This window comes from Homo sapiens, chromosome 7 (genome assembly GCF_000001405.40).
Source record: "Homo sapiens chromosome 7, GRCh38.p14 Primary Assembly".
Lineage (NCBI taxonomy): Eukaryota > Metazoa > Chordata > Mammalia > Primates > Hominidae > Homo > Homo sapiens.
This window is the reverse complement of record NC_000007.14, coordinates 107,220,847-107,245,753: the sequence shown is the minus strand read 5'-3', so window position 1 is coordinate 107,245,753 and position 24,907 is coordinate 107,220,847. Positions and strand designations below refer to the sequence as shown.

General features: G+C 40.4%; 1 protein-coding gene and 1 long non-coding RNA gene across 10 annotated transcripts in view; one reads left to right on the top strand and one right to left on the bottom strand.

The window, feature by feature from the left end:
- Positions 1-24,907, top strand: part of COG5 (component of oligomeric golgi complex 5) — a 362,549-nt gene that overhangs the window by 318,167 nt on the left and 19,475 nt on the right. For 8 of the 9 annotated variants that reach the window (NM_001379516.1, NM_001379515.1, NM_001379511.1 and 5 more), the window contains 2 exons: positions 9,067-9,304; positions 15,063-15,139. The exons of the other annotated variant lie outside the window; for it this stretch is intronic. In NM_001379516.1, coding sequence (NP_001366445.1) covers positions 9,067-9,304; positions 15,063-15,139 — 315 coding nt within the window. The remainder of the gene's footprint in view (positions 1-9,066; positions 9,305-15,062; positions 15,140-24,907) is intronic. 9 annotated transcript variants of the gene reach the window in all.
- Positions 11,542-23,692, bottom strand: LOC124901721 (uncharacterized). The gene is made up of 3 exons (XR_007060472.1): positions 23,604-23,692; positions 19,309-19,417; positions 11,542-11,672 (listed from the first exon to the last, which is right to left on the bottom strand). It is a non-coding gene; the product is annotated as an uncharacterized LOC124901721 (long non-coding RNA).

Sequence of the window (24,907 nt, the reverse complement as noted above, 5' to 3'; positions counted from 1 at the left end):
TATCCATGAGCATGGGATGTTCTTCCATTTGTTTGTGTCTTCTCTGATTTCTTTGAGCAGTGTTTTGTAGTTCTCATTGTAGAGATCTTTTACCTCCCTGGTTACCTGTATTCCTAGATGTTTTATTCTTTTTTGACAATTATGAATGGTATTGCCTTTCTGATTTAGCTTTCAGTTTGGCTGTTGGTGATGTATAGGAATGCTAGTGATTTTTGTGCATTGATTTTGTATCCTGAAACTTTGCTGAAGTTGTTTATCAGCTGAAGGAGCTTTTGGGCCAAGACTATGGGGTTTTCTAGATATAGAATCATGTCATCTGCAAACAGAGGTAGCTTAACTTCTTCTCTTCCTATTTAGATGCTCTTTATTTCTTCCTCTTGCCTGGTTGCTCTGGCTAGGACCTCCAATACTGTGTTGAATAGAAGTGGTGAAAGAGGGCATCCTTGTCTTGTGCTGGTTTTCAAGGGGATTGCTTCCAGCTTTGGCCCATTCAGTGTAATGTTGGCTGTGGATTTGTCATGGATGGTGCTTATTATTTTGAGGTATGTTCCTTTGATACCTAATTTATTGAGAATTTTTAACATGAAGAAGTGTTAAATTTTATCAGAAGCCTTTTCTGGGTCTATTGAGATAATCATGTGGTTTTTGCCTTTAGCTCTGTTGATGTGATTAATCACATTTACTGATTTGCATATGTTGAACCAATCTCGTGTCCCGGGGATGAAGCCTACTCGATTGGCCTGAAGTTTTCTTTTTTCGCTGTGTCTCTGCCAAGTTTTGGTATCAAGATGATGCTGGCCTCATAGAATGAGGGTTGGGGAGGAGCCCCTCTTCCTCCATTTTTTGGAATAGTTTCTGTAGGAATGGTACTAGCTCTTCTTTTTACATATGGTAAAATTCAGCTGTGAATCCATCAGGCCTCAGACTTTTTTTAGTTAGTCAGCAATTCATTACTGATTCAAACTCGGAACTCATTATTAGTCTGTTCAGGGAATCAGTTTCCTCCTGGCTGGGTCTTGGGAGAGTGTATGTGTCCAGGAATGTGTCCATCTCTTCTAGGTTTTCTACTTTTTGGGTTTAGAGGTTTCTGATTTTTTTTTTCCTATGGGGTCAGTAGTAACATTTTCTTCCTCATGTCTAATTGTGTTTATTTGATATTCTCTCTTCTTTATTAGTCTAGCTAATGGCCTATTTTATTAATTTTTTTCAAAAAGCCTACTCCTGGATTCATTGATCTTCTGAATGGTTTTCATGTCTCTGTTTTCCTCAGTTCAGCTCTGATTTCTGTTACATCTCATCTTCTGCTAACTTTGTTGATTTGTTCATGCTTTTCTAATGCTTTAAGTTGTAAAGTTAGGTTGTTAATTTGAGATTTTTTGGCTTTTTGATGTCAGCATTTAGTGCTATGAATTTTCCTCTTAACAGTGCCTTAGCTGTGTCCCAGAGATTGTGATATGTTGTATCATTGTTCTTGTTATTTTCAAAGAACTTTTTGTTTTTTTGAGATGGAGTCTTGCTGTGTTGCCCAGGCTGGAGTGCAGTGGCGTGATCTTGGCTCACTGCTGCCTCCACCTCCTCGGTTCAAGCGATTCTCCTGCCTCAGCCTCCTGAGTAGCTGGGATTACAGGCCCGCACCACCCCTACCCCAGCTAATCTTTGTAATTTTTTTAGTAGAGACAGGGTTTTGCTATGTTGGCCAGGCTGGTCTCCAACTCCTAACCTCAAGGGATCCAGCTGCCTCAGCCTCCCTAAGTGCTGGGATTACAGGCATGAGCCACCACGTCCAGCCCAAAGAACTTCTTGACTTCTGCCTTAATTTCATGTATTTACCCAAAAGTCATTCAGGAGCAAGTTGTTTAATTTCCATGTAATTGCATGGTTTTGAGCAATTTTCATAGTCTTGACTTCTGTTTTTATTGTATTGTGGTCTGAGAGTGTGTTTGGTATGATTGATGTTCTTTTACATTTGTTGAGGATTGTTTTATGTCCAATTATGAGGTCAATATTAGTGTATGTGACGTGGTGATGAGAAGAATGTGTATTCTGTTGTTTTGGGATGGAGAGTTCTGTAAAGGTCTATCAGTTGCATTTGGTCCAATGTTGCATTTAGGTCCTGAATGTCTTTGTTAATTTTCTGCCTTGATGATCTATCTAATACTGTCATTGGAGTGCTGAAGTCTCCCACCGTTATTGTGTGGGAGTCTTTGAAGGTCTTTGAGATTTTTTTTTTTTTTTTTTTTTTGAGATGGAGTCTCGCTCTGTCCCCTAGGCTGGAGTGCAGTGGCGTGATCTCGGCTCACTGCAAGTCTACCTCCTGGGTTCACACCATTCTCCTGCCTCAGCCTCCTGAGTAGCTGGGACTACAGGCACCCGCCACCGCACCCGGCTAATTTTTTGTATGTTTAGTAGAGACGGGGTTTCACCGTGTTAGCCAGGAGGGTCTCGATCTTCTGACCTTGTGATCCACCCGTCTCGGCCTCCCAAGGTGCTGGGACTACAGGCGTGAGCCACCGCCCCAGGCCGAGACTTCTTTGAAGGTCTCTAAGAATTTGCTTTAGGAATCTGGGTGTTCCTGTGTTGGGTCCATATATATATAAGATTGTTAAATCTTCTTGTTGAATTGAACCCTTACCGTTATGTAGTGTCCTTATTTGTCTTTTTTGATGTTTGCTGGTTTGAAATTTGTTTTGTCTGAAATTAGGACTGCAACCTCTGCTTTTTTCTGTTTTTCGTTTGCTTGGTATATTTTCCTCCATCCCTTTATTTTGAGCCTGTGAGTGTCATTACATATGAGATGGGTTTCTAGGGTGATCTCAGTGTTCCTTCCCCAAATCGGAGGCAGCAGAGGAGGGGATCTTAGTAGTGGCTGTGGCCAAGGGTCGTTTGCTTGTCTCCTGGGGGCTCCACCCCAGACAGATGCATGTTAGCACTCACTCACTGCAGTCAGCCCAGTGGGGGAGGGTCTAAGCTGTGGGCCTAGCAAGGAGTGTCTATGCTGTGGGCCCAAGCCAGGGGTTCTCCTGGTGACAAGCAGTGGGGTAAGAGGCAGGGGGACCTGTGGGAGACAGACTGGTTTCCTCTCCTTGGGTTGACTGCAGCTTGTTGGAGGTGTGGATAAGGTACTTAGGGTCTTTGCTCCTTCATTAATCCAGGGGTGACAAGGGCAGTTCCATTGCAGGGGCAGTGGCAAAGAGGCTCTCAGCTGCCACTGGAGGCTCTGCTCTTGGAGTTGCTGAGTTGCTACTGGCTTGATAGCTCTGGCTGGGGATGGCTGGAGGCCCAGGCCTGCCCGGTGAAGAGATATGGGAACAGGTACCCATGTAACAGTCTGGCCACTTTGCCATAGGGCTGCTGCAGTATGCTTGGGGCCCATTCCAGTCCCTAGTAGACTCGGATTTTCCAGTGCTTGGAGTTACCACCAGTGAAAGCACTTTTCTGGGCAGTGGGGGTTCCCCTGGCTCTGTGTTGCTCCCGGGTGAGGCGTTGTCCTGTTTTGCTTTTCTTCATTCTCTGTCGGTCAGGTTGTTTCCTTGATTAGTCCCTGAGTACCTGGATGTTTCAGTTGAAGGGGTCTGTTCCTCTCCATGAGAGCCCTGCACACTAGCTGCTTCTAATTGGCCATATTGACCTCTCCCACATGGGAAATGTGGGAAATGTCAAAAGATCAATCTAGGCTGGGCACAGTGGCTTATGCCTGTAATTCCAGCACTTTGAGAGGCTGAGGCGGGCAGACTGCTTGAGCTCAGGAATTCAGGACCAGCCTAGGCAGCATGGTGAAACCCTGTCTCTACAAAAAATACAAAAATTAGCTGGGTGTCGTGGTGTGCATCGGTAGTTCCAGCTCTTTGGGGAGCTAAGGCAAGGGGATGGTTTCAGCCTGAAGGAATTGAGGCTGCAGTGAGCCGTAATCATGCCATTGCACTCCAGGATAGATGACAAAGTAAGACCCTGTTTCAAAAAAAGGAAAGATCAGTCTCTATTTTAAAAAATATATGAAGCACAGGCTGGGCGCGGTGGCTCACGCCTGTAATCCCAGCACTTTGGGAGGCCGAGACGGGCGGATCACGAGGTCAGGAGATCGAGACCATCCTGGCTAACACGGTGAAACCCCGTCTCTACTAAAAATATAAAAAAATTAGCCAGGCGTGGTGGCGGGCGCCTGTAGTCCCAGCTACTCCGGAGGCTGAGGCGGGAGAAGGCGTGAACCCCGGAGGCGGAGCTTGCAGTGAGCCCAGATCGCGCCACTGCACTCCAGCCTGGGCGATAGAGTGAGACTCTGTATCAAAAAAAAATAAATAAATAAAAAATAAATATATATATATATAGATAGATAGATGGATATAGATATATATATATATATGAAGCACAGAAGGGTAAAGTGAATTCTACCGAAAAAAAAACTATATTTGGAACTCAATATAACATAGGATTATATAACTGCTGATTACCAATATTTGAGAGGAAATGGTTTTTGTTCAAAAGTGATCTGAAGTGTCCCAGTTAGATCAATCATGAATGCCTCTCAGAAGGGAGCCAAAACAAGCTGATTTTTGAAGGCTTATTCTATAATAACAGTGGTCACATACTTTTAATTTAATTGGTGAGCTGCAACTAGTGCCTGTAGATAACACATTAGACATTAACAGCTGAAAGTTAGTTCCCAAATAGATGTGTTTTTACTAATTTGCTTAAATTCTAGTGAGCCAAACTGTTTCTTCAACTGATAGGTTGCCATGAGTATGAAGCATTATTTTAAGGTGCCTAACATTGTCCGTATTTTTTTTCCCAGTTGCTTTGGTGACTCCATTTCAGCTCAGTGTATACAACAGTCATTTGAGATTCATGTATACAGCAGTCAGTTGAGATTCCAGTGAAAGTTATTCATATATAGCAGTACAGGCATATGGAGCACTGCTGCTTTTATTTAAAGTATTGCCCCCATGGCAGTAATTTTCCTACTTTGTAGAATCTTGTGATTAGTAATTCTGTAATGGCATGTCATTTCATATATATATGGCTTATGTGAAATATGAGGTGGAGTTGGATTAGTCAAGAAGCAGAAATTGCCTTTATTTTAGGGCCAGCCCCCAGGGATAACAATTAGAAAAACAATAGTGAAAACCTGACCCTTCAAGCCCTCCACACCTATTCCTAAGTAAAAGGAATAAAGTTTACCTTCAAGTCTAACTTACATGTGGTAGGGTTACAGACTCCCCTGCTATTTAAAGAGTAATCATGGGCTGGGCATGGTGGCTCACGCCTGTAATCCCAGCACTTTCGGAGGCCGAGGCAGGCAGATCACTTGAGGTCAGGAGTTTGAGACCAGCCTGGCCAACATGGTGAAACCCTGTCTCTACTAAAAATACAAAAATTAGCCCGGGGTGGTGGCAGGCAGCTATAATCCAAGCTACTGGGGAGGCTGAGTCAGGAGAATCGCTTGAACCCTGGAGGCAGAGGTTGCAGTGAGCCAAGATCGAGCCACTGCACTCCATCCAGCCTGAGTGACAGAGTGAGATCCTGTCTCAAATAAATAAATAAATAAGTAAAGAGTAATCATCAACATGGTTTCTTGGTATTTGAAATTTATTTTAAAAGACTGACGTGTTTCTTTCCAAATTAGACAAAAATTAAAATGTAAATATCTGATTGACATAGAACATTGATTAAAATTGTTGCAGTCCATGTAAAGTGACTCATATCTGATTACAGTTTTGAGTAGGGAAGGGAAGGCAGTGAAAGAAGAACTCTACATTATTAAAGTGATAGATGAGCCCCTTTGTGGAAGGGAGAGCACTCACACAAAAGGTTAGTGGCATGAAGATTAACATTCACTTCTTGGTTATGCGTATGTTTAATTCTTCTATTTGGCCACAAACCAAGTCTGAACAAATTAAAGGGAGCTGAAATCAAGTATCTTTTCTAATGACAATGGTATGAAACTAGACATCAATAATAGGAGAAATCTTCGAAATTTCACAAATATGTGGAACTTAAACAACATGCACCTGAACAACCAGTGGATCAAAGGAGAAATCAAAAATATCTTGGGACAAATGAAAATGGAAACAAAATGCATTTTGTTTAAACAAGTAAAATATCTATACACTGAAAACTATAAAACATCAATGAAAGAAATCAACAAAAACACAAATAAATGGAAACATATTCTGTGTTCATGAATTGAAAGAATATTGTTAAAAGGTCCATACTACCCAAACCAGCCTTCAGATTTAATGCAATCTCTACCAAAATTCCAATGTCATTTTTCACAGAAATAGAAAAAAGTAATCCTAAAATTCATATGGAACTACCAAAATCTCTGAATAGCCAAGGCAATCTTGAGCAAAAATAAAGCTAGAGGTATCACACTACCTAATTTTAAACTATATTACAGAGCTACATGATGATTAAAATGGCATGGTGCGCTGGCATTGACCAATGAAACAGAACAGAGAGCCCAGAAATGAGCTCACACATTTATAGTCAATTGATTTTCGACAGAGGTGCCAGGAACACTCAATGGAATAAGGACAGTTCCTTCAATAATAAATATGTATTAGTAAAAATGGATATCCAGATGCAGAAGAATGAAATTGGACCCTTATCTCATACCATATGTGAAAATCAAATGAAAATAGATTAAGAACTTAAATGTAACACCTGAAACTAAAACAAATTTAAGAAAACAGGAAAATCTGAGCAATAATTTTTTGGATTTGATCCCAAGAGCTCAGACTACAAAGCAAAAATAGACAAATGTGATTACATTTATCTAAAAAGCTTCTGAACAGCAAAGAAAACAAGTGGAGTGACAACCTATGGATTGGGGAAAATACTTACAAGCCATACATCTGATACGGGGATTAACGTCCAAAATATATAAGGAACTCAAATCAATAACAAGAAAACAACCTGATTTAAACATAGGCAAAGGACCTGAACAGACATTTCTCAAAAGAAGACATACAAATGGCCAGTAGATATGTGAAAAAACATTCAACATCACTAATCATCAGGGGAATGCAAATTAAAACCACAATGAGATTGCACCTCACACCTGTCAGAATTGACTTATCAAAAAGATGAAAGATACCGAGTGTGAAAGACGATGTACAGAAAAGGGAACCCTTGTATACTGTGGTTGGAATGTAAATTAGGCAGCCATTATGGAAAACTGTAAGGACGTTTCTCAAAAAACTAAAAACAGAACTACCACATGATCCAGCAGTCCCACTTCTGGATACATAACCTAAGAACTTGAAATCAGTATGTCAAAAGATATACGCACTTCCATGTTCATTGCAGCATTACTTACAATGGCCAAGTTATGGAATCAATCTAAATGTCCACCAACATTTAGATTGATAAATGGATAAAGAAAATGTGGTATACATACACAATGGAATACCATCCAGCCTTCAGAAAGACAGGAATTCTGTTAATTGCAACAAATAGATGAACCTACAGAACATTATGCTAAGTGAAGTAAGCCAGACACCAAAAGACAAATACCACATGACCTCACATATCTGTTGTCTAAAACAACCGAATACATAGAAACAGAGAGTAGAATGGCAGTTAGCAGCTATGGGGTGGAGGGAATAGAGAGATGTTGGTCAAAGGGTACAAAGTTGCAGTTAGGAGGAATAAATGATAAGTATTTAAGGTGATGAGTATGATTACCTTGATTCAGTCATTCCACACTGTATACATATAACATTACTGTGTATCCCCTTATTATATATTATTATAATTCATCAAAAATAAACATTAAAAAAATGAAATAGATTGGCACCATTTTCGGATAGGGAGGCTTCTTTTATTTGTTTGTTTTTGCAGCCTGGCCTTGTGGAGTGACAAACCTAGAGTAAAGCTAGGCTATGCAGTTGTCTGAATCTGGGAAAACCAAACCCCACATGAAGATGGCCGTCATTTACTAAGGCTCCCCTGTACCCAAGCGCCACTCCATCATGTGATGATACTGCAAACAAAAATGTTGCACCATACACCCTTCAGCAGCCTTGCTGTTGTTGGCACAGTCTTATACCTGTATGAAATCCCTTCCTGCTGGAACATAGGCCTACTTCTTCTATCTCTATCTGCTTCTGAAAGTGACGGACCTCTGGTTAGCATCCTATTTATAGTAACCACTGCTGTATTTGAAGATAATTAAGTTCAACTCATTCTCTTGCTCTAAGCATTTTAGTCATATCTGTTGTTCTTCTATAGACCATCACCAATTTCTCTACGTCATTCTCAGAATATGGAAACACTTAACTTGCTTTTTGAAAAAGATTCAGCATGATGTAGCCAGTGATCTCATTTATTAGAAAATATCAGGTGTTAGCTAGTTTTGGTATATCTCTTTCCTATAAATATTTCACATTCTTTTAATATATTCTTTAAAGAGCAATTATAAACATTTATAAATTATAAATAGTATTTCATGGAGCATCAGCTGGTATCATTTGTTGATCCAAATTAAAGCCTTTCCAAACCTCATCATCTAGAGGAAAAAACTGCATGCCATGTGTACTGTTACATAACCATTTCCACAGTCAGAATTCTGTTGGACTGATCTGATTAAATAGCACAAGAGCAGAGAGATCTTTGCCAAGAATTTGTATAGGGAAAGCAGCATTTTCTGTCATTGCAAAGCATAAAATGCTATTTCAGGATCCATTATTGATGCATTCAGTTAGCAGGCAAAACATGTGAGTGGATGGAGAATTGAGAGGCTGGGAGGGACCTTGAGAGGCCAGAGAGTAGCACTTGTATGATTCATCCAAGACAGATGGTTGTCTATTTCATTCTTAATAATCTTTAGGTAAATGGATTCTAAAATTCCTTCAGTAATCCTCCTGGCATCTAAACCACTTTTTGAAATGTAATTTTTAAACATTGTTTTCTGCTAACGCTTATCAAAAAGTAATTAATGTCTTTTATACCATTAAGGGAAAACATTACAAAGGATTGAAATAGCAGCATTGGTGGGGAGAGGGGTACAAAATCAAAGAGTGTGATTTAGTGCAGCGGTGCTGAAAAGGGCTGCTTTTTCTTTTACAGGTCATTATCCAGCTCAGGAAAACCTGATGTTCCTTGTTCTCTGTACATGAAGGAGCTACAAGGTTTCATTGCCAGAGTTATGAGTGACTATTTTAAACACTTTGAATGCTTGGATTTTGTCTTTGACAACACTGAGGCTATTGCCCAAAGAGCTGTTGAACTTTTTATCCGCCATGCCAGTCTCATAAGACCTCTTGGTGAAGGTGGGAAAATGCGACTTGCTGCTGATTTTGCACAGGTACATTGATGAATTACTACAAAAGAAAAAATGTTTTGGCCTCAATATCATCTATTAAATGAAAGAATGTGTTTTCATCGGTGTTTTTAAAGAGTTGCAGCACAAAGAAAAGTAAGCCCACTTAAGCATAAATAGTTAAAAAAAAAAAGGGAGAGTTTAAAGATACTTTTATACCAGATATATTTTTCTTTGTATTTAACAAAATAATTATCCCTCTCTTTGGTATTTCAAGGTTAAGGTGAAATAGCTCATTCCACAGGAAAGCAGCACTTCCCATTTTTATTTCATATGGGATTTTCTCACTATTTTACTGTCCCAATAGGTCAAACCTTGCTGACCAATAATGTAGGCAATGAAATCATATTTCAAACAGTGAAAAGAGACCGCTTGTTGCCATGTCACCATTCCGAGGCAGTGTTCCCATTCCTTTAAATGCACAGTGGGCCAGGTAGACATAGAGTCTGATTATTTGTTCTCTCTCTATCAGGTAGAGTACAGTTCTTCTCTGTGGCTAGCCTTGAAATCATTTCAGGCTATCTGATGTGTGTGAGAGATAGAATGACATTAAAATAGCAAAACATTATCAGCTCTTATAGAAAGCGTTTTCTTTGTCCTTTAGACAGATTTTTTAAAGCCTTTCAGTAGGCAATGAAGAAAAACCCCAAACATGCTTTCATTAAAAGATTCAGAAACAAAGATGATTGTTATTTTTGTATAGCATACCAAGGGTAAAATCTTTTTCTTTTTGAGACAGAGTCTTGCTCTGTCGCCCAGGTTGGAGTGCAGTGGCACAATCTCAGCTCACTGCAACCTCCACCTCCTGGGTTCAAGTGATTCCTCTGCCTCAGCTTCCCGAGTAGCTGGAACTACAGGCACGCGCCACCACGCCTGGATAATTTTTGTATTTTTAGTACAGACAGGGTTTAACCGTATTGGCCAAGCTGGTCTCAAACTCCTGACCTTGTGATCCACCCGCCTTGGCCTCCCAAAGTGTTGGGATTACAGGCGTGAGCCACCACACCTGGCTGGGTAAAATCATTTTTAAGCCTTTCAAAGCTGTTAGCTTTACTAGTCCAAATAGTTACTGAAATGAATTCTTCATAGCAATTTGCCAGATCCTCCCCACTTATAAAGATAAATGTTAATGTCAATATTTATTCTTGTGTGTATCCGGGAGTGTGTCTTGCTTCATTATTTCTACATGGAGGAAAGGACCTGGACAGACTGCTTGTATCAAGTCAGTGGTTGTCAGGTGCTCCCTCAGACTTGACACACTTTCAAAAAAGGAACAGGTAACACAAACCTAAACTTTCAAGAGCCTGTTTCATTGCAAATTGACTGATGCAGCAGTTAGTCATTTTCATCTCCAAATAATATTCCTGGGACCATTAGACCATAGAAATGAGCCTTCATTTGGAAAATATGCTTGTAGTAGCCACAGCATAAAAACAGAGATTAAACGTTACCATTAATATGGCTCTTTTTACCTTTTACATTTTATGAACTTCATTCTTAGGCACCTGTACATTTAACTTTGTTTTACAGGTACACTTGGCTTAAAGAAAGTTATTTGTAAATAGTGTCTTATTTGTCCCTTACTGGGGTTCCAGATTGCTTATTAAAAACCTGATGATGTACTAGAACCTCCTCTTATTTGTTTAAAAAAAAAAAGTGTGAACTATACTCAGATGGTCTCTGTTCTCCTCTTCCCCTTTCCTCCTTAATTTTGTTTTTCTTTTTGTTTCATCTTCTTTCCCTGGGCTCTCTCCCCTACCAGCTTATTTGCATTCTGCTCCAGCTGGTTCTTGAGTCACTTTCCTGGAGGCAGCACTTCAAGTCCAATTAGAGTGGCAGCCGAGCAGGAGATGGCCAAAACGAGAGTGCTGTAGGAGAGAGGCTTGTTTTTGTTTTTTATTTTAATATGTTCCCTTATGGGTCCTGAAAGATGGAAAGTATTGTCCTTTAACCCTTGCTACTGCCGCTAACACCTGCTCAAAATGCATAGCATCCAGAGGCAGGGGTGAGCTTCCACCTTTCAAAAAACTGCATTATTCAAAATGTTATTTGGCATCCTTTTTTCTTAAGACATGTTGTCTAATAAGCCAAACTTTTCTGGGTCCCTTCCCTTAAGGTAAATTAAACTCATCAGTCATTATTACTAACTTATGCTCAAAGGCCTCTTGTTTCCTGTTTTTTAAACATAGAAGAAGCATTTACACACACAGCATTTACTCACTGTTAAGCCCTGCAGTGACATTTGGTTGCAGCAGGCAGTGTGGTATTGAAAAGCAGATTCCTTTGTTCACCCCTGTACAGTGTGTCCCAGTTTCAAAACATCCTGACACTCACCTTGGGGATGGCTCCAGTCCTGTGGATCATGGGTACAGAAAAGACAGGCGGAGGCACTATCATAATTAATCATATCTGTGATCATTATCTTTGGCAAATATTGTTCTACTGTTATGTCATGGTCTCCCCCACCCACTTTTTAAATTAAAATTAAAATTTCAAGGTTTTATTTCGTTTGGTTTGGTTTCTTGCCACAATTGCAATTATTTGTTGTACCTCAGCTTTTAGCATCACATTTGGTTGAAAGTGTTTTTCGAGGGTCAGTCAAAACATTTAAATAGCATTACTCTAACATTTATATTCATGACAGGCATCAACTGGGGACTAGAGGGCTTTTCAACTGCCTTATTACTGAAAGTTCTATCAATTCATATTCAAAATTAAAGCCATTGAGGTCACTGAAATCAAAAATACACAAATACTCCATGGGTTTAAAAACTGTTCTTGTGATAAAAGTGCCTGCCATTCTAGCATAAATAACAAAAAGAGCTCAAGAAGGGACCTATAGACCAGGTTTGGGAATACTAGTTATTTGCCGTAAAGTCCAATTGCAAAGAGAGATAATGACGTATTTTCAGGATTTCTTTAAGAATCCTAACTTCTCCTCACTGGCACCAGTGCAGGAAAGAGAAAGTAGTTGCAGGGTGCCATCTGGAGGGATCATGGTGAGGGAAGTACCTGACATCCAGCCCCCTTAGGAATCCAGGTCATGGGCACGAGGTGGTTTCCTACAGGTAATTAATTCCCCACTGTGACCACATGGTCTCAGTGCCTACACTGATCACACAGCAGTTCTGAAATCACTAAGCCTGTCCACGACACTGGGGTTCTGCTGATTCTGAATCTCACTGGGATCTTGCCCACAGTGTCCTCTGAAGCACATACTCCCCCTCCACCCCTCAGTTTATTTTCTTAGCTGAAGGAAAGAGTGGCTATTGAAGTTGGTATTAAATTATTTAGTGGTACTTCTAGCAATTTCTATTTATAGGTCTTCTGGTGCCCTTTAAGCATACATTTATATCTATTTCACTTTGTGCCTAAAAATATTAATTTAGAAAAGAAAACAAGACAATCAAAATTCTAATTTTTGTTCTAATTCCTATTGCCTTTTCTTCTCCTGAACAATGTCAGGGCAGGAGTACCCTAGGAGTATCCAAAGAAGTCCTGTGGTTAACCAAATGTCTGTGGTAGGGAAGGAACAGCTATGTAATTAGTTCACCGTGCCTGCAGCTGACCGCTCATTCTCTCCAAACGGGGGCTGGAGAGAAGCAGTTGCACATGCCACTTTTGTATCCGCTGCTAATGGCAGAGTCACCTCCTCTTACCACAACACTCTTGCCCTTTAAAACATGGCCTTTATTGTTTAATGGAATTCTGGAAGAAGAAAATGATTTACAATATCCTAGAGGTCCTTTATGGATAAAAAAATTTTATTTTAAACATTAAACATTTTGAAATTGTCCTGCGGCATAGAAATCTTTTGCATAATCATACATTTTCCAGCCATTCGAGGTCATATTTTCTCATATCGTAACTTTTTCCTAGCCATTTATTTGTTTTAACATTTGGTCCTGCTCAAGTGCTAAGGCAAAGGTTGTCTTTGAAGACAGTGATTCCACTAGAGTAGTTGAGAAATTGACAAAAACACTTCGTGAAAAATATATAATTTCAGTATGTAAAAAACCATTATATAGAGAGAGGTATTTGAATGGAATTATATCAAAGATACAGTGATAATCACATTTTTCCTTTGTGCTCAGTGTAAAGTAAGTGACACATATGGAAAGAAAACAGAAATTCCTACCCAGTGAATAAATGAAACAGGTTCCAAAGAACAGCCTATCACCTACTGTCTTTTGAGTTGGGCACACTGGCTCACAGCTGTTCTGTTTTGCATTGTTGGCAAGAATCCTTTTTCTTCCTTACATTTTTATCTTTATATTTATTTATGATTCTTCATTTTATAGTTTCCCAGCCATATAAGGTTTCCTTCTAGGACATGCAGTATGCAATCCATGTCTTTAATATGTTATGAGAGAAATTAACCTGGTTACTGTTCATCCTCAAGACCATCCCAAGGAAGCTTCTCCAACTCTCTCGACACTGAGGTCATAAGTTTGACATAGCACTTATCATTTTGCTTAATAAGAATCATTATGTGTGTATGTATGTGTGTTTATATATGTTTATATGTGGACATATACACAAATACTTTTGATTTTGTTGATAATCATATTGTTTTAATAAATAAATATCCCCTTCATTAAATTTGAGAATTTAGTGAAGGCAAGATAGTCTAATCATCTAATCATCTAATCCTCATATCTAGCTTGGTACCTAGCACTAAGGCAGTCAAAATGTTTCTCAAATGAGTGATCGATTGGGTCTCTATAGTGTACCCATGGCAAGGAGATTTTAAGCAATTTTTTGTAAGGGTGGCCAGCAGGACAGAAGCCTTAAATCATATGTGCTTCTTGAAGAAAGGTGCTGTACTATCAGGGAGCAGCCTATTCTCAACCATTTTCTAAACCATTCTTTACCAGGGCGCTATTTATAGCAAGAGTGGAGAAGCAGTCTATCACCTGAGTAGCACATATGCAAAAAGTTCGCATATGCACTTGGTAGAAAAGAACAGGTAACCTAATTAATGACAAGTAGAATTTCCAGTCAAAGGAGGAAAATAAAGAGAAGTGAAACCAAGATTTGCTAAATTCTTGAGTTAGGTAGCATATTAATTTATTAATAATTGAAAAGAGAAAAATTTTTAAACACTGATAATAATTGCTGACAATTAACAGCACTTATATGCTATGCACATAAAGCTTTGTGGGATTATCTTTTAATTTGCATTATTCTATTAAGTAGGTATTATTATCTCCATTTTACAGATGAGAGACCTGAGACTTAAAGAGGTGAAGTAACTTATCCAGGGTCACAAACTAGTAACTAGTATCAGCATTTGGAATGCTGATATAGATGTGCTACTAAAAGCTCCAGAGTTAGTCCTTTTAATTACTTGAGCCACACTGACTGATAAAAATTGTCATCATTTATATTGAATGTAAAAAGACTTGTAATGCCTAAAGTATAGGCATGCAGTCTTGAAAATTTTCCTTTTCCTTATTTTTCAATGGATAAATGATATAAACTTTTTCCTTTTATATAACAAAAAATGTTTTTTTTTTATTTTCATGAAGGAATTGTCTCATCTTGGGCCCTCTTAGTAAATAAATGCAAAAATTATGTAAGTGCTTACCTTTTAATAAATTTAGTTGGCCATCACAACTTGCCTTACAGTCCAGATAAAATTAAGTTTACTGCAAGCTACAACTTTCTGTGATCCGGGTCTTTCCCAAATTCCCCTAATGATTCTGACATTACAACAATGGAGTATATTTTAATATTTCAGATGGAGTTGGCTGTGGGTCCATTCTGTAGACGAGTATCTGATTTAGGAAAGTCCTATCGGATGCTGAGATCATTCAGGTAAGACCGAATTCTTTGTTCATACATTCATATCCTCCAGGCAAATAAATCCTTTCTGTGCAGGTTGAACTTCATAAAATTGCCAATATTCAACCATTTTTGATCTACAACAATGGCAATTTCATGATTCATCTTAGAAAGTATTCAAATCAGAAACCCATATAGATATTTATGTAATGACTAATAAATTAGAGGGTATGTGTATTTTCTTAGTCACAGTTCACAAGATTAAGCTGGTAAATTATGCTTTTCTTGGGGAGAATTTTTTTTTTTATTTTTAGCTTCCGATTCTTATAGAAATGTAATACTAGGCAATTCATAATTATATAGACAAGTTTTTCTGAAATGTTCATTTGTTCATTTATCATTTTTAACCCAGTCTGCTTCTAACAGGTCATAAGTTACATTCCAAGATATGGATATGATAAAACTATTGAATGAAGTATTAAAAGAATCAAGTTCATGGCTGAGCACGGTGGCTCATGCCTATAATCCCAGCACTTTGGGAGGCCGAGGCAGGTGGATCATCTGAGGTCAGGAGATCAAGACCATCCTGGCCAACATGGTGAAACTCTGTCTCCACTAAAAATACAAAAATTAGCTGGGCATGGTGGTGCACACCTGTAGTTCCAGCTACTGGGGAGGCTGAGGCAGGAGAATCGCTTGAACCAGGGAGTCAGAGGTTGCAGTGAGCCGAGATCACGCCAGTGCACCCCAGCCTGGCGACAGAGTGAGACTCTGTCTCAAAAAAAAAAACAAAAAAAAAAAACAAAAACCAAAAAAAAAACAGAAGAATCTAGTTCAATGATGAAGTGCAGAGAATGACTATAAATGTAATAGGTAACTTAGCCTAATGCAGTTGAGCAAAAAATTTAGTACTGAGCGGAGAAATCACTTTACAAAGAAACACAAGAGTTGATTCATATTCATGATCTAACAGAATACCAGTATAATAGAGAGAAAAGTCCTTGTCAGTGCTGAACACTTAGATTTTTTTCAGCTCAGATTTTAAGGAACGTTGAATAACATTGAGTAATGACTGTGGTCTTTACTAGCCGATTTTTAGAAGATAAGGAGATGTTATTCATATGGCTGTTTATTTAGTAAATCAGAACTTTATAAGTTGTTTACATCATAGCACAAACAGAAGAAGATATTTTGTTTTTTGAGATGGAGTCTTGCTCTGTCACCAGGCTGGAGTGCAGTGGCACGATCTTGGCTCACTGCAACTTCCACCTCCCGGGTTCAAGCGATTCTCCTGTCTCTGCCTCCTGAGTAGCTGGGATTACAGGAACACGCCACCACACTCAGCTAATTTTTGTATTTTTAGTATAGACGGTGTTTCACCATGTTGGCCAGGATGGTCTCGATCTCCTCTCCTCGTGATCTGCCTGCCTCGGCCTCCCAAAGTGCTGAGATTACAGGCGTGAGCCACTGCGCCTAGCCGAAGAAGATATTTTCATTTAAAAAGGTGGCCAACCCTAAGGGCTGAGGGGATCAACATAATATTTTGTGACCACAGCATACCAGATGGGAGGCCTTTATATAAACTGTCCATAATATCCAAGTGCATAATGGTTGAAGATTTCTCAATAAGGATAAGATAACAGAGTACAGGTATGCAGCTTTCTAAAAACCAACTCAGTACTGGAAACTAGAGGATCAATAAGCAGTATGTCCTTTAAATGATCGCTTTGCTCTCTTCTGTCATCAAGCTTTGGTAGTAGAAACTTCTGGTGGAATATAAGAAATATAAGAATCCAATATTGTTGATTGAGAGGGAATCCGTATATTTTACCTCGCCTGTTTGTAATTAGCACAGGCCTTTTTTTTTTTTTAATGGCAACACAAGAGTCTGGATTTTATTTTTTCTCAAATGAAAGATCACTGCCCATCTGTACAGAGATGAGTTTTAGGAAAACTTAAAGTGAGATCACAAATGCTTTCAGATACCTTCTTTGTATCAGCTCAAATCTTTTTAAAACTGTTTAAGTATTTTGTTGAAGCTATAGAGTTCTGCACTACCAAACATGGGCGAGTTGAAGGATGATGAGGTCCTGAGGTTGCCAATCCATTGGTCATCTGTTTGTACCATAAAAGTTACTTTACTAAAACCCCTGTACAGTCATTTACTCTTGAGTAAGATGGTAACACAGCAATCCTAGCTGGGTAATAAAATGTTGCCCTGGCTGGCTGAGTCAGTTAACATACTGGAGGATATTAACCATCTAGTTATTGAAAAAGGTATGAGAAAAGCTGTGATTTAGCATTGCTATAGGAAGATTTGGCTTTTTTTTTTTTTTTTTTTGAGACCGGGTGTCACTCTGTCACCCAGGTTAGAGTGCAGTGGTGCGATCTCCATCTCAGCTTACTGCAACCTCCACCTTGCATGCCCAAGTGATCCTCCCGCCTCAGCCTCCTGAGTAACTGGGACTACAGGTGTGTGCCACCATGCCCAGCTAATTTTTATATTTTTTTGTAGAAACAAAGTTTCACCATGTTGCCCAGCCTGGTCTTGAATTTCTGAGCTCAAGCTATCTGCCCGCCTCAGCCCCCCAGACTGCTGGGATTACAAGTATGGCAGGTGTAAGCCACCACACCTGGCCTAGGCTATTATTTTTTATAGCCCCAGTCCCATGTTTAGTTGTTTATTGCATTATTGCACGTGCATGTATAAAATAATGCTAATTCAGCCTGGCCAACATGGTGAAACCCCATCTCTACCAAAAAGTACAAAAATTAGCCAGGCATGGCAGCACACATCTGTAGTCCCAGCTACTTGGAAGGCTGAGGTGGGAGAATCACTTTAACCCGGGAGCTGGAGGTTACAGTGAGTCGAGATTGTGCCACTGCACTGCAGCCTTGGTGACAGACTGAGACCCTTTACCGCCCACCACCCACACCCCCCGCCCCAAAAAAAAATAGTGCTAAGTTTCCTGTTTGCTGAGGCAGGATGACCTTCATGTAAGCACTCTTAAAGTTGTGTCATAGTATGGAGATACAAGGTCTGAGGATAAGTTTCACTTAAGACATCTATTTTAAGCCATTTAAGATGGAAATTTTCTGCCAACCCTTTCCAATTCTCACATGAGAGAAAGAATCTCTAAAGGAACATTTAAAGTTTGGGTGACACCTTCTAATACCTATTTATAGAATCAAGAATCGCTTGATCAATGTATAATTTTAATAGTTCTACTTTTTTTTTTATATCTAGCTTCTTATGGCGTAACAGTTTTCAAACTTTTGACCATGACCCACAGTAAAAGATACTTTCTATTGATATTTGGCATATACTTGTATGCAAACACATGAACACACTCAAATCTATATACATATACATGGACACCCATATGTATGGTTCATGAAATAGTAAGTACCCTTACTTCATGTGATAACCTCTAACATTTCTATTTCATTTGATTATTTTAACCCACTAAATTAGTTTAATGACCCACTCATGGCCTGCATCCAGCCATTTCTCAGATTTCTCACGAGGCCCTTAACTCTTGAACTTTAGTTGCTCTAGTGACAGGGAGCCAAGTTTTTTCCTTTCCACAAACTGTGAAGATTTATACCCTTTTCTCTTGGGATTCTGGTATCTCTGAGGTTCCTCCTGCAGATGACGTCTTAGCTCCCAAGGCCTCAGGCACATAAGAATAATTGTTTCTTGCCTATGGAGTATCCTTCATAGCTTGAGTTAATTGAAAAATTCCAACAGAGGTATTTTTCTATATACCATTATATTTCTATATTTATATTGAATCTACAGAAATCTACTGAATTAATCCTAGTGCTTTCTCAGTTGTTTGATGGGACTGATACAACTATTTTATAAAAAGCGTAGGATTAGGATTAACTGGATCAAGAAATAAAACAGAAGTATAATATATTAAGGGGTTCAAATCCAGCCCTGGTCTACAAAGAATGTTTTCAGTCCTATCAGATGAGAAGAAGAGAGATGTGAGCATGTGCTGCGGCCTCTGCCCCGCACCATTGTTGGGAAAGCCCTGGCCCTGCCAGCTTCTTTGCAGTTGTCATGTAAAGAGAATTGACTTGAGAAAGCTTACCCATGTGGCGGGTCCTACCAAATTCCTTCCTAGAGAGGAGTAAATCAGTACAGAGCCATCTTTATTCTAATAACCTAATTATAGGCCCTCTGTTTTACCTACCTGCAAAATCTTGTTAGAGATCTGTCTCTTCTTTAAAATGAGTCCTGAGCAGTTGCAGTGAAAAGCTTACTCTTATTAATATGTGCACTTCTTCCATCTGTGCTGTGGGCTGTGACAAAGAATAGGCATCATCCAAGTTAGACCTTGGCACTTGTTCATGGGTCTCCTCACCAAAGACTCTCAATCAAACCAAAACCAGTTGAATGGTAGTCAGTAGGAGATTGCCTGAATAAAATATGCTAAATTCATAGGATCAAATATATGCAGACATTAACAGTAATATTATTAGTTAATATCTGGTAAAATGAAAAATACTCCCTAGTGCATCACTAGGTAAAACAGGTGACTAAGCAGTATATGGTATGACCTCTACTATTTTTTTTATTGTTTTTTTGTGTGTGTGTGATGATGTCTCGCTTTTGTCCCCCAGGTTGGAGTGCAATGGCATGATCATGGTTCACTGCAACCTCCGCTTCCCAGATTCAAGCGATTCTCCTGCATCAGCCTCCCGAATAGCTGGGATTACAGGCCCCTGCCACCATGCCCGGCAAATTTTTGTATTTTTAGTAGAGACGGGGTTTCACCACGTTGGCCAGGCTGGTCTCAAACTCCTGACCTCAGGTGATCTGCCTGCCTCGGCCTCCCAAAGTGTTGGGATTACAGGCAAGAGCCACCATGCCCAGCCGACCTCTACTATTTTTAAAATAATAGCATCTACTAGCCTCAGCAACATGGCAAAACTCTGTCTTTACAAAAGATAGAAAAATTAGCCAGGCATGGTGGTGCACATCTGTGGTCCCAGCTACTCGGTAGGCTAAGGTGGGAGGACCTGAGCTCAGGGAGGTCAAGGATGCAGTGAGCTGTGATTGGGTCATTGCACTCCAGCCTGGGTGACAGAGTGAGACCCTGTCCCAAAATATAAAATAAATGAATAAAAGTATTTGTTTGAATGGAGAATAAAAGACAAAAAGGAAAAACATGAAAATATCTTTGACTAAGATTGTCACTTGGGGTTTTTTTTAGGGTTTTTATTTTTTTTAAATTTTCTGCCTTATTTTATTTTTATAGTCAGAAAAGTCAAATACTATTTTTAAATCTCTCTTGCATTGTTTTTCCCATTTGAAAATAACCATGGAGCTAAAAAGTAATAAAAAAATGTACTAAAACATTACCCAATAAAGAGCAGGCGTGAGTTGACAAGAAAAACAGGCAGCCAAACAGCCAAAAGCCAGTAGGTTGCAATAGCCACAGAGGGCCTCAGTTCCAATTAGGGGCAGTGGCTGCAGGGGAGGGCAATGGGCTCAGTTCAGGGGTCCCTTCATAATGGAAGATGACAGTGCCAGCTGGAGTTTGAGTCCAGACCACACCCAGCATGTACACACATGCACACGCCCTCATACATACACACACACAGGCCTTAGTAGGTGCTCCCTTCCCCCATCATGCAGCCATCTGCCAGGGGGCACTTTCTTCTTGATGGTGATATTAGTGGACTATTTATGTAAGCCAGCAAGCTTCTTGCATATATTTACATTTTACTGTCTACATTATAGTTTCTCAGGCAGCGGGAATCTTTTCATACTCAGTAGAGAATGCTGCCTCTGAAAGCTTTTGACATTAGTGATTTGCCCCTGGGTGATTTGTATTTCTACACAAGACCCACGTGTCAGAGCTATAGAGACCCCGTCTTTGTCCACCTCTCTGCAGCATGGCATTATTCCCTAAGTAGTGTTTGTGAGGTTGTTACCTCAGCTTCTCCTGGCCAGAGGCCACAAAGCTGTGACCCTTGACATTGTCAGTATAGATCTTTGTGAGGCAAAGGGCAGAAAAGGGAGCAAATGCTCTTCACCAGCTCAGGGGCACAGACCCTGCCTTCAGGCAGGCCTCACCACCTTTGCTCCTGAAGGGACAGCTTGTCCCTGATGATGTCCACAGTCTTCTCGGCTGGAAGCTCATTTCCAGCTAGGCTTAATGAAAGGGCAGTGAAAGCTGTCAGGAGATAGGGGCTGTGTTCTGATGGATCTTTTAGCATGAGGAGCAGTGGAAGAAGAAAACTGTCAATAACTAGAATGTAGTGTTCCTGTCAATTGTTTTTAATTATAGGAGTAATGAGGGTTTTCTAGGTCTACAGTTTGTATTTATGATCCTCTGTTGATTGAAATTCCAAACCTCTGTGCCTGAATGTTTATAGAACTGAAAGAAGGCCGTCTCTGCAGCTTCCATTTTTAGCACCTTTAACACTAAGACCCTCCAGATGCATTCTGTCTTTTCTTTCCGCTTGTGGATCTGGAGCCCTTAACCCATCCCTTGAAATAACGGTTTCTCTGAGGTTTCGGGATTCTTAATTCTAAGTTTCAGATTTCAGTGTTACAGCCAGAAGGCAACCACCATCTTGGACTTAGTTGTTTTGTTGCTCTTTGCTACAACTTTGGCAGTGCTAAGCGCACCCAGGTAAACATGAAGAGTTGAATATTTAGTTTATCATCATTTTTATAATTTCTGACAACTATTATTTGGTTATTTATTTTATACCAAGCCTGTGCTGAGTGTTTTACTGATACTTCCTCATTTAGCCCTCACAGCACTTAAAAGTTAGGTATGATCCCCATGAGGCAATTAAAACCCACAGCAGCAAAGTGGGAGAATCTGGGAGTCACATTTTAGACCCAGGCTGCCTGATTCCAAAGCCTGTGCTTGTAACCACCATACCCCACATCTTATTCCAGAAGTTTCTGTTTGTTTTCTATCTGAATGGTCCCGGAACAGGATTTGAATGCTTACGTGTATCATCCAGGAAAATCAGAAAATTTTAAAGAGAATCTAAACTCCCCACTTTAGTGGCCACCTCCTGCTGCTGAAATGCCTCATCTCACTGTCTTCTGTTGCATTCAGGCTCCCAGACAGTACACAAGGAACACTCAGCCAAATGTATGCTTTTATTCTTAGAGAATGTCAGCCCAAATCCCTGCCTCCTTTCCTACCTGGTCTGCTGGTATAGACAATCTAGACTGAGACAGGGACATTTTTAACCTCTCTACTTTGAACCCAAATCAGCCTCCTGCTTCATTCTCTCCTGGGACCCACATGGCCCCTCGTGCCACAAACTAGGCCTCCCTAAAGAATCTCCATAGAAATGCTCACCTTCTACAGGCCTCCAACACTTTCTCTTCTCTCTCAGAGGCCCTCATTGTGTCCTGTGCAGAGAGCATGGCCACCTGTGCCCTGCCCCACAAAGGGAATCATGTTCCTTCTCCCACTCTTTCATTTCTGTGCTGCTTCCAGACCTCAGTACGCATACTTAGTGGTCTTGCTGCCTTCCCAGGCCCTTCAGCAAGAGGAGGTCAAGATGGGGTGATGGCAAGTGGCATGGAAGAGAATGATGCCTATATCTGTCTCAGGATACCACTGATGTTAGATGTGGACACAGGAGCAGCAGGATTTTTGCCTTACTTTACTTCATGATTGGCCTTAACAAGCTGTCAGAAGACTGACAGCTGCATAGCTATGAATCGTTTAAATGTGAATCTTGCTGAGTAGAAATGCAGTTTTTTTTTAATGAGACCTAATAGTTGACAAATTGACACTACCTTCTGCCTGTAAAGTTCACCCTTGAAAGTGCTGCTATATTTAGAATATTATGCTCTAAGAATGATATTGTGGCATTTGGTGTATCTGCATTTTATAACACCTTATTTCTTTTTGTTTCATAAAGCACTTTAGATGGTTATTTATTTTTTAACTTGCTAGTGTTTAAAATTCCACCTGGAATCAGGGAGAAGGGAGTGCTCAAGCTATGTTCTTTCAGCTTCTTAAAACAAGCACCCAAAACAAAATGTCTGTTTGATGTTTACAGGTAATTATGACAGTGATGCACAATACAGAGTCAAATCTAGTTTTGCTTTTCATGGATTTTTTGACAGTCCTGTTAAAAGGGACAGGTGAGGCTGGGCGTGGTGGCTCACGCCTGTAATCCCAGCACTTTGGAAGGCCGAGGTGGGCGGATCACGAGGTTAGGAGTTTGAGACCAGCCTGGCCAGCATAGTGAAATCCTGTCTCTACTAAAAATACAAAAATTAGCTGGGCATAGTGCCATGCGCCCCTGTAATCCTGTAAGCCACCTCAGAAGGCTGAGGCAGGAGAATCACTTGAGCCCAGGAGGCAGAGGTTGCAGTGAGCCGAGATAATGCCATTGCACTCCAGCCTGGGCGACAGAGCGAGACTCCATCTCAAAAAAAAAAAAGGGGGGGACAGGTGATTACCCAGAAGATTCCATTTTAAAATGAGCTGGTTCTTACCAGGCCTGGCTTAGACAGGCATCTCAGCCAGAAACCTCTGTGTGGGCTGGGCTGCTAGACATGCTGTTATGCGCATGTACTGTTCAGGTTGTTTCCCTCTCCTCGTCTGTCTCCGTCCTTGTCCTTCCCCTTCTGCCCTTCTTTCCTTCCTTGTATCATTTACAGTTTGCGTCAAGAATATATTGGAAGAAAAAAAGAAAAATGTAAATATTCGAACCATAAAACTAACTTAAATTGCTATAGATAAGTTTCAAACTTGGCTTTAAACTTCATGAAGCCAAAGATAAGAGAGAAACAGAATCAGCTATCTGATTCTCATTATCAGAAGGAAGAAAATGTATCAATTCCTAAGAGAAAGTTAAGCATCTCTTTTTTTTTTTTTTTTTGAGACGGAGTCTCACTCTGTCACCCAGGCTGGAGTGCAGTGGCATGATCCCGGCTCACTGCAAGCTCTGCCTCCCAGGTTCACGCCATTCTCCTGCCTCAGCCTCCCGAGTGGCTGGGACTACAGGCACACGCTACCATGCCCGGCTAATTTTTTTGTATTTTTAGTAAAGATGGGATTTCACCATGTTAGCCAGGATGGTCTCAATCTCCTGACCTCATGATCTGCCTGCCTCGGCCTCCCAAAGTGCTGGGATTACAGGTGTGAGCCACCACACCTGGCCAAGAAAGTTAAGCATTTCTTGGCACTTAATTCTAAAGTACTTATAAGGACTTTTATACAGAGAGCTTCATACGGGAAGTACTAAGAGATGGGAGGACCAAAATTCTTGATCACCTTCCTGTTGTAGAGGTAGTATAGGATTCCATATGGCTGCTGTTCGTTAACAATCAAGGACTGTCATATAGGGCTGAACCCCACCCCCACCCCTGGGGTCTTCTCACATCGTAAACTAGGGTTCAAGATGAACCCTACTCTATCACATGGCATGAGCAAAGAATGGGCTCTAATGGAGAAAGGGAAAACTCACAGGACCAATGTACTGCTGAACACGACAACCAGGGACAGCAGGACAGAAGTGAGGGCATGAAGCCAGGTGCAGTGGCTCATGCCTGTAATTCCAGCACTTTGGGAGGCCAAGGCACACAGATCACTTGAGGTCAGGAATTTGAGACCAGCCTGACCAACATCGTGAAACCCCCATCTCTACTAAAAATACAAAAATTAGCTGGGTGTGATGGCAGGCGCCTGTCATCAGCTACTTGGGAAGCTGAGGCAGGAGAATCGCTTGAACCTGGGAGGCAGAGGTTGCAGTGAGCCAAGATTGCACCACTGCATTCCAGCCTGGGCGACAAAGCGA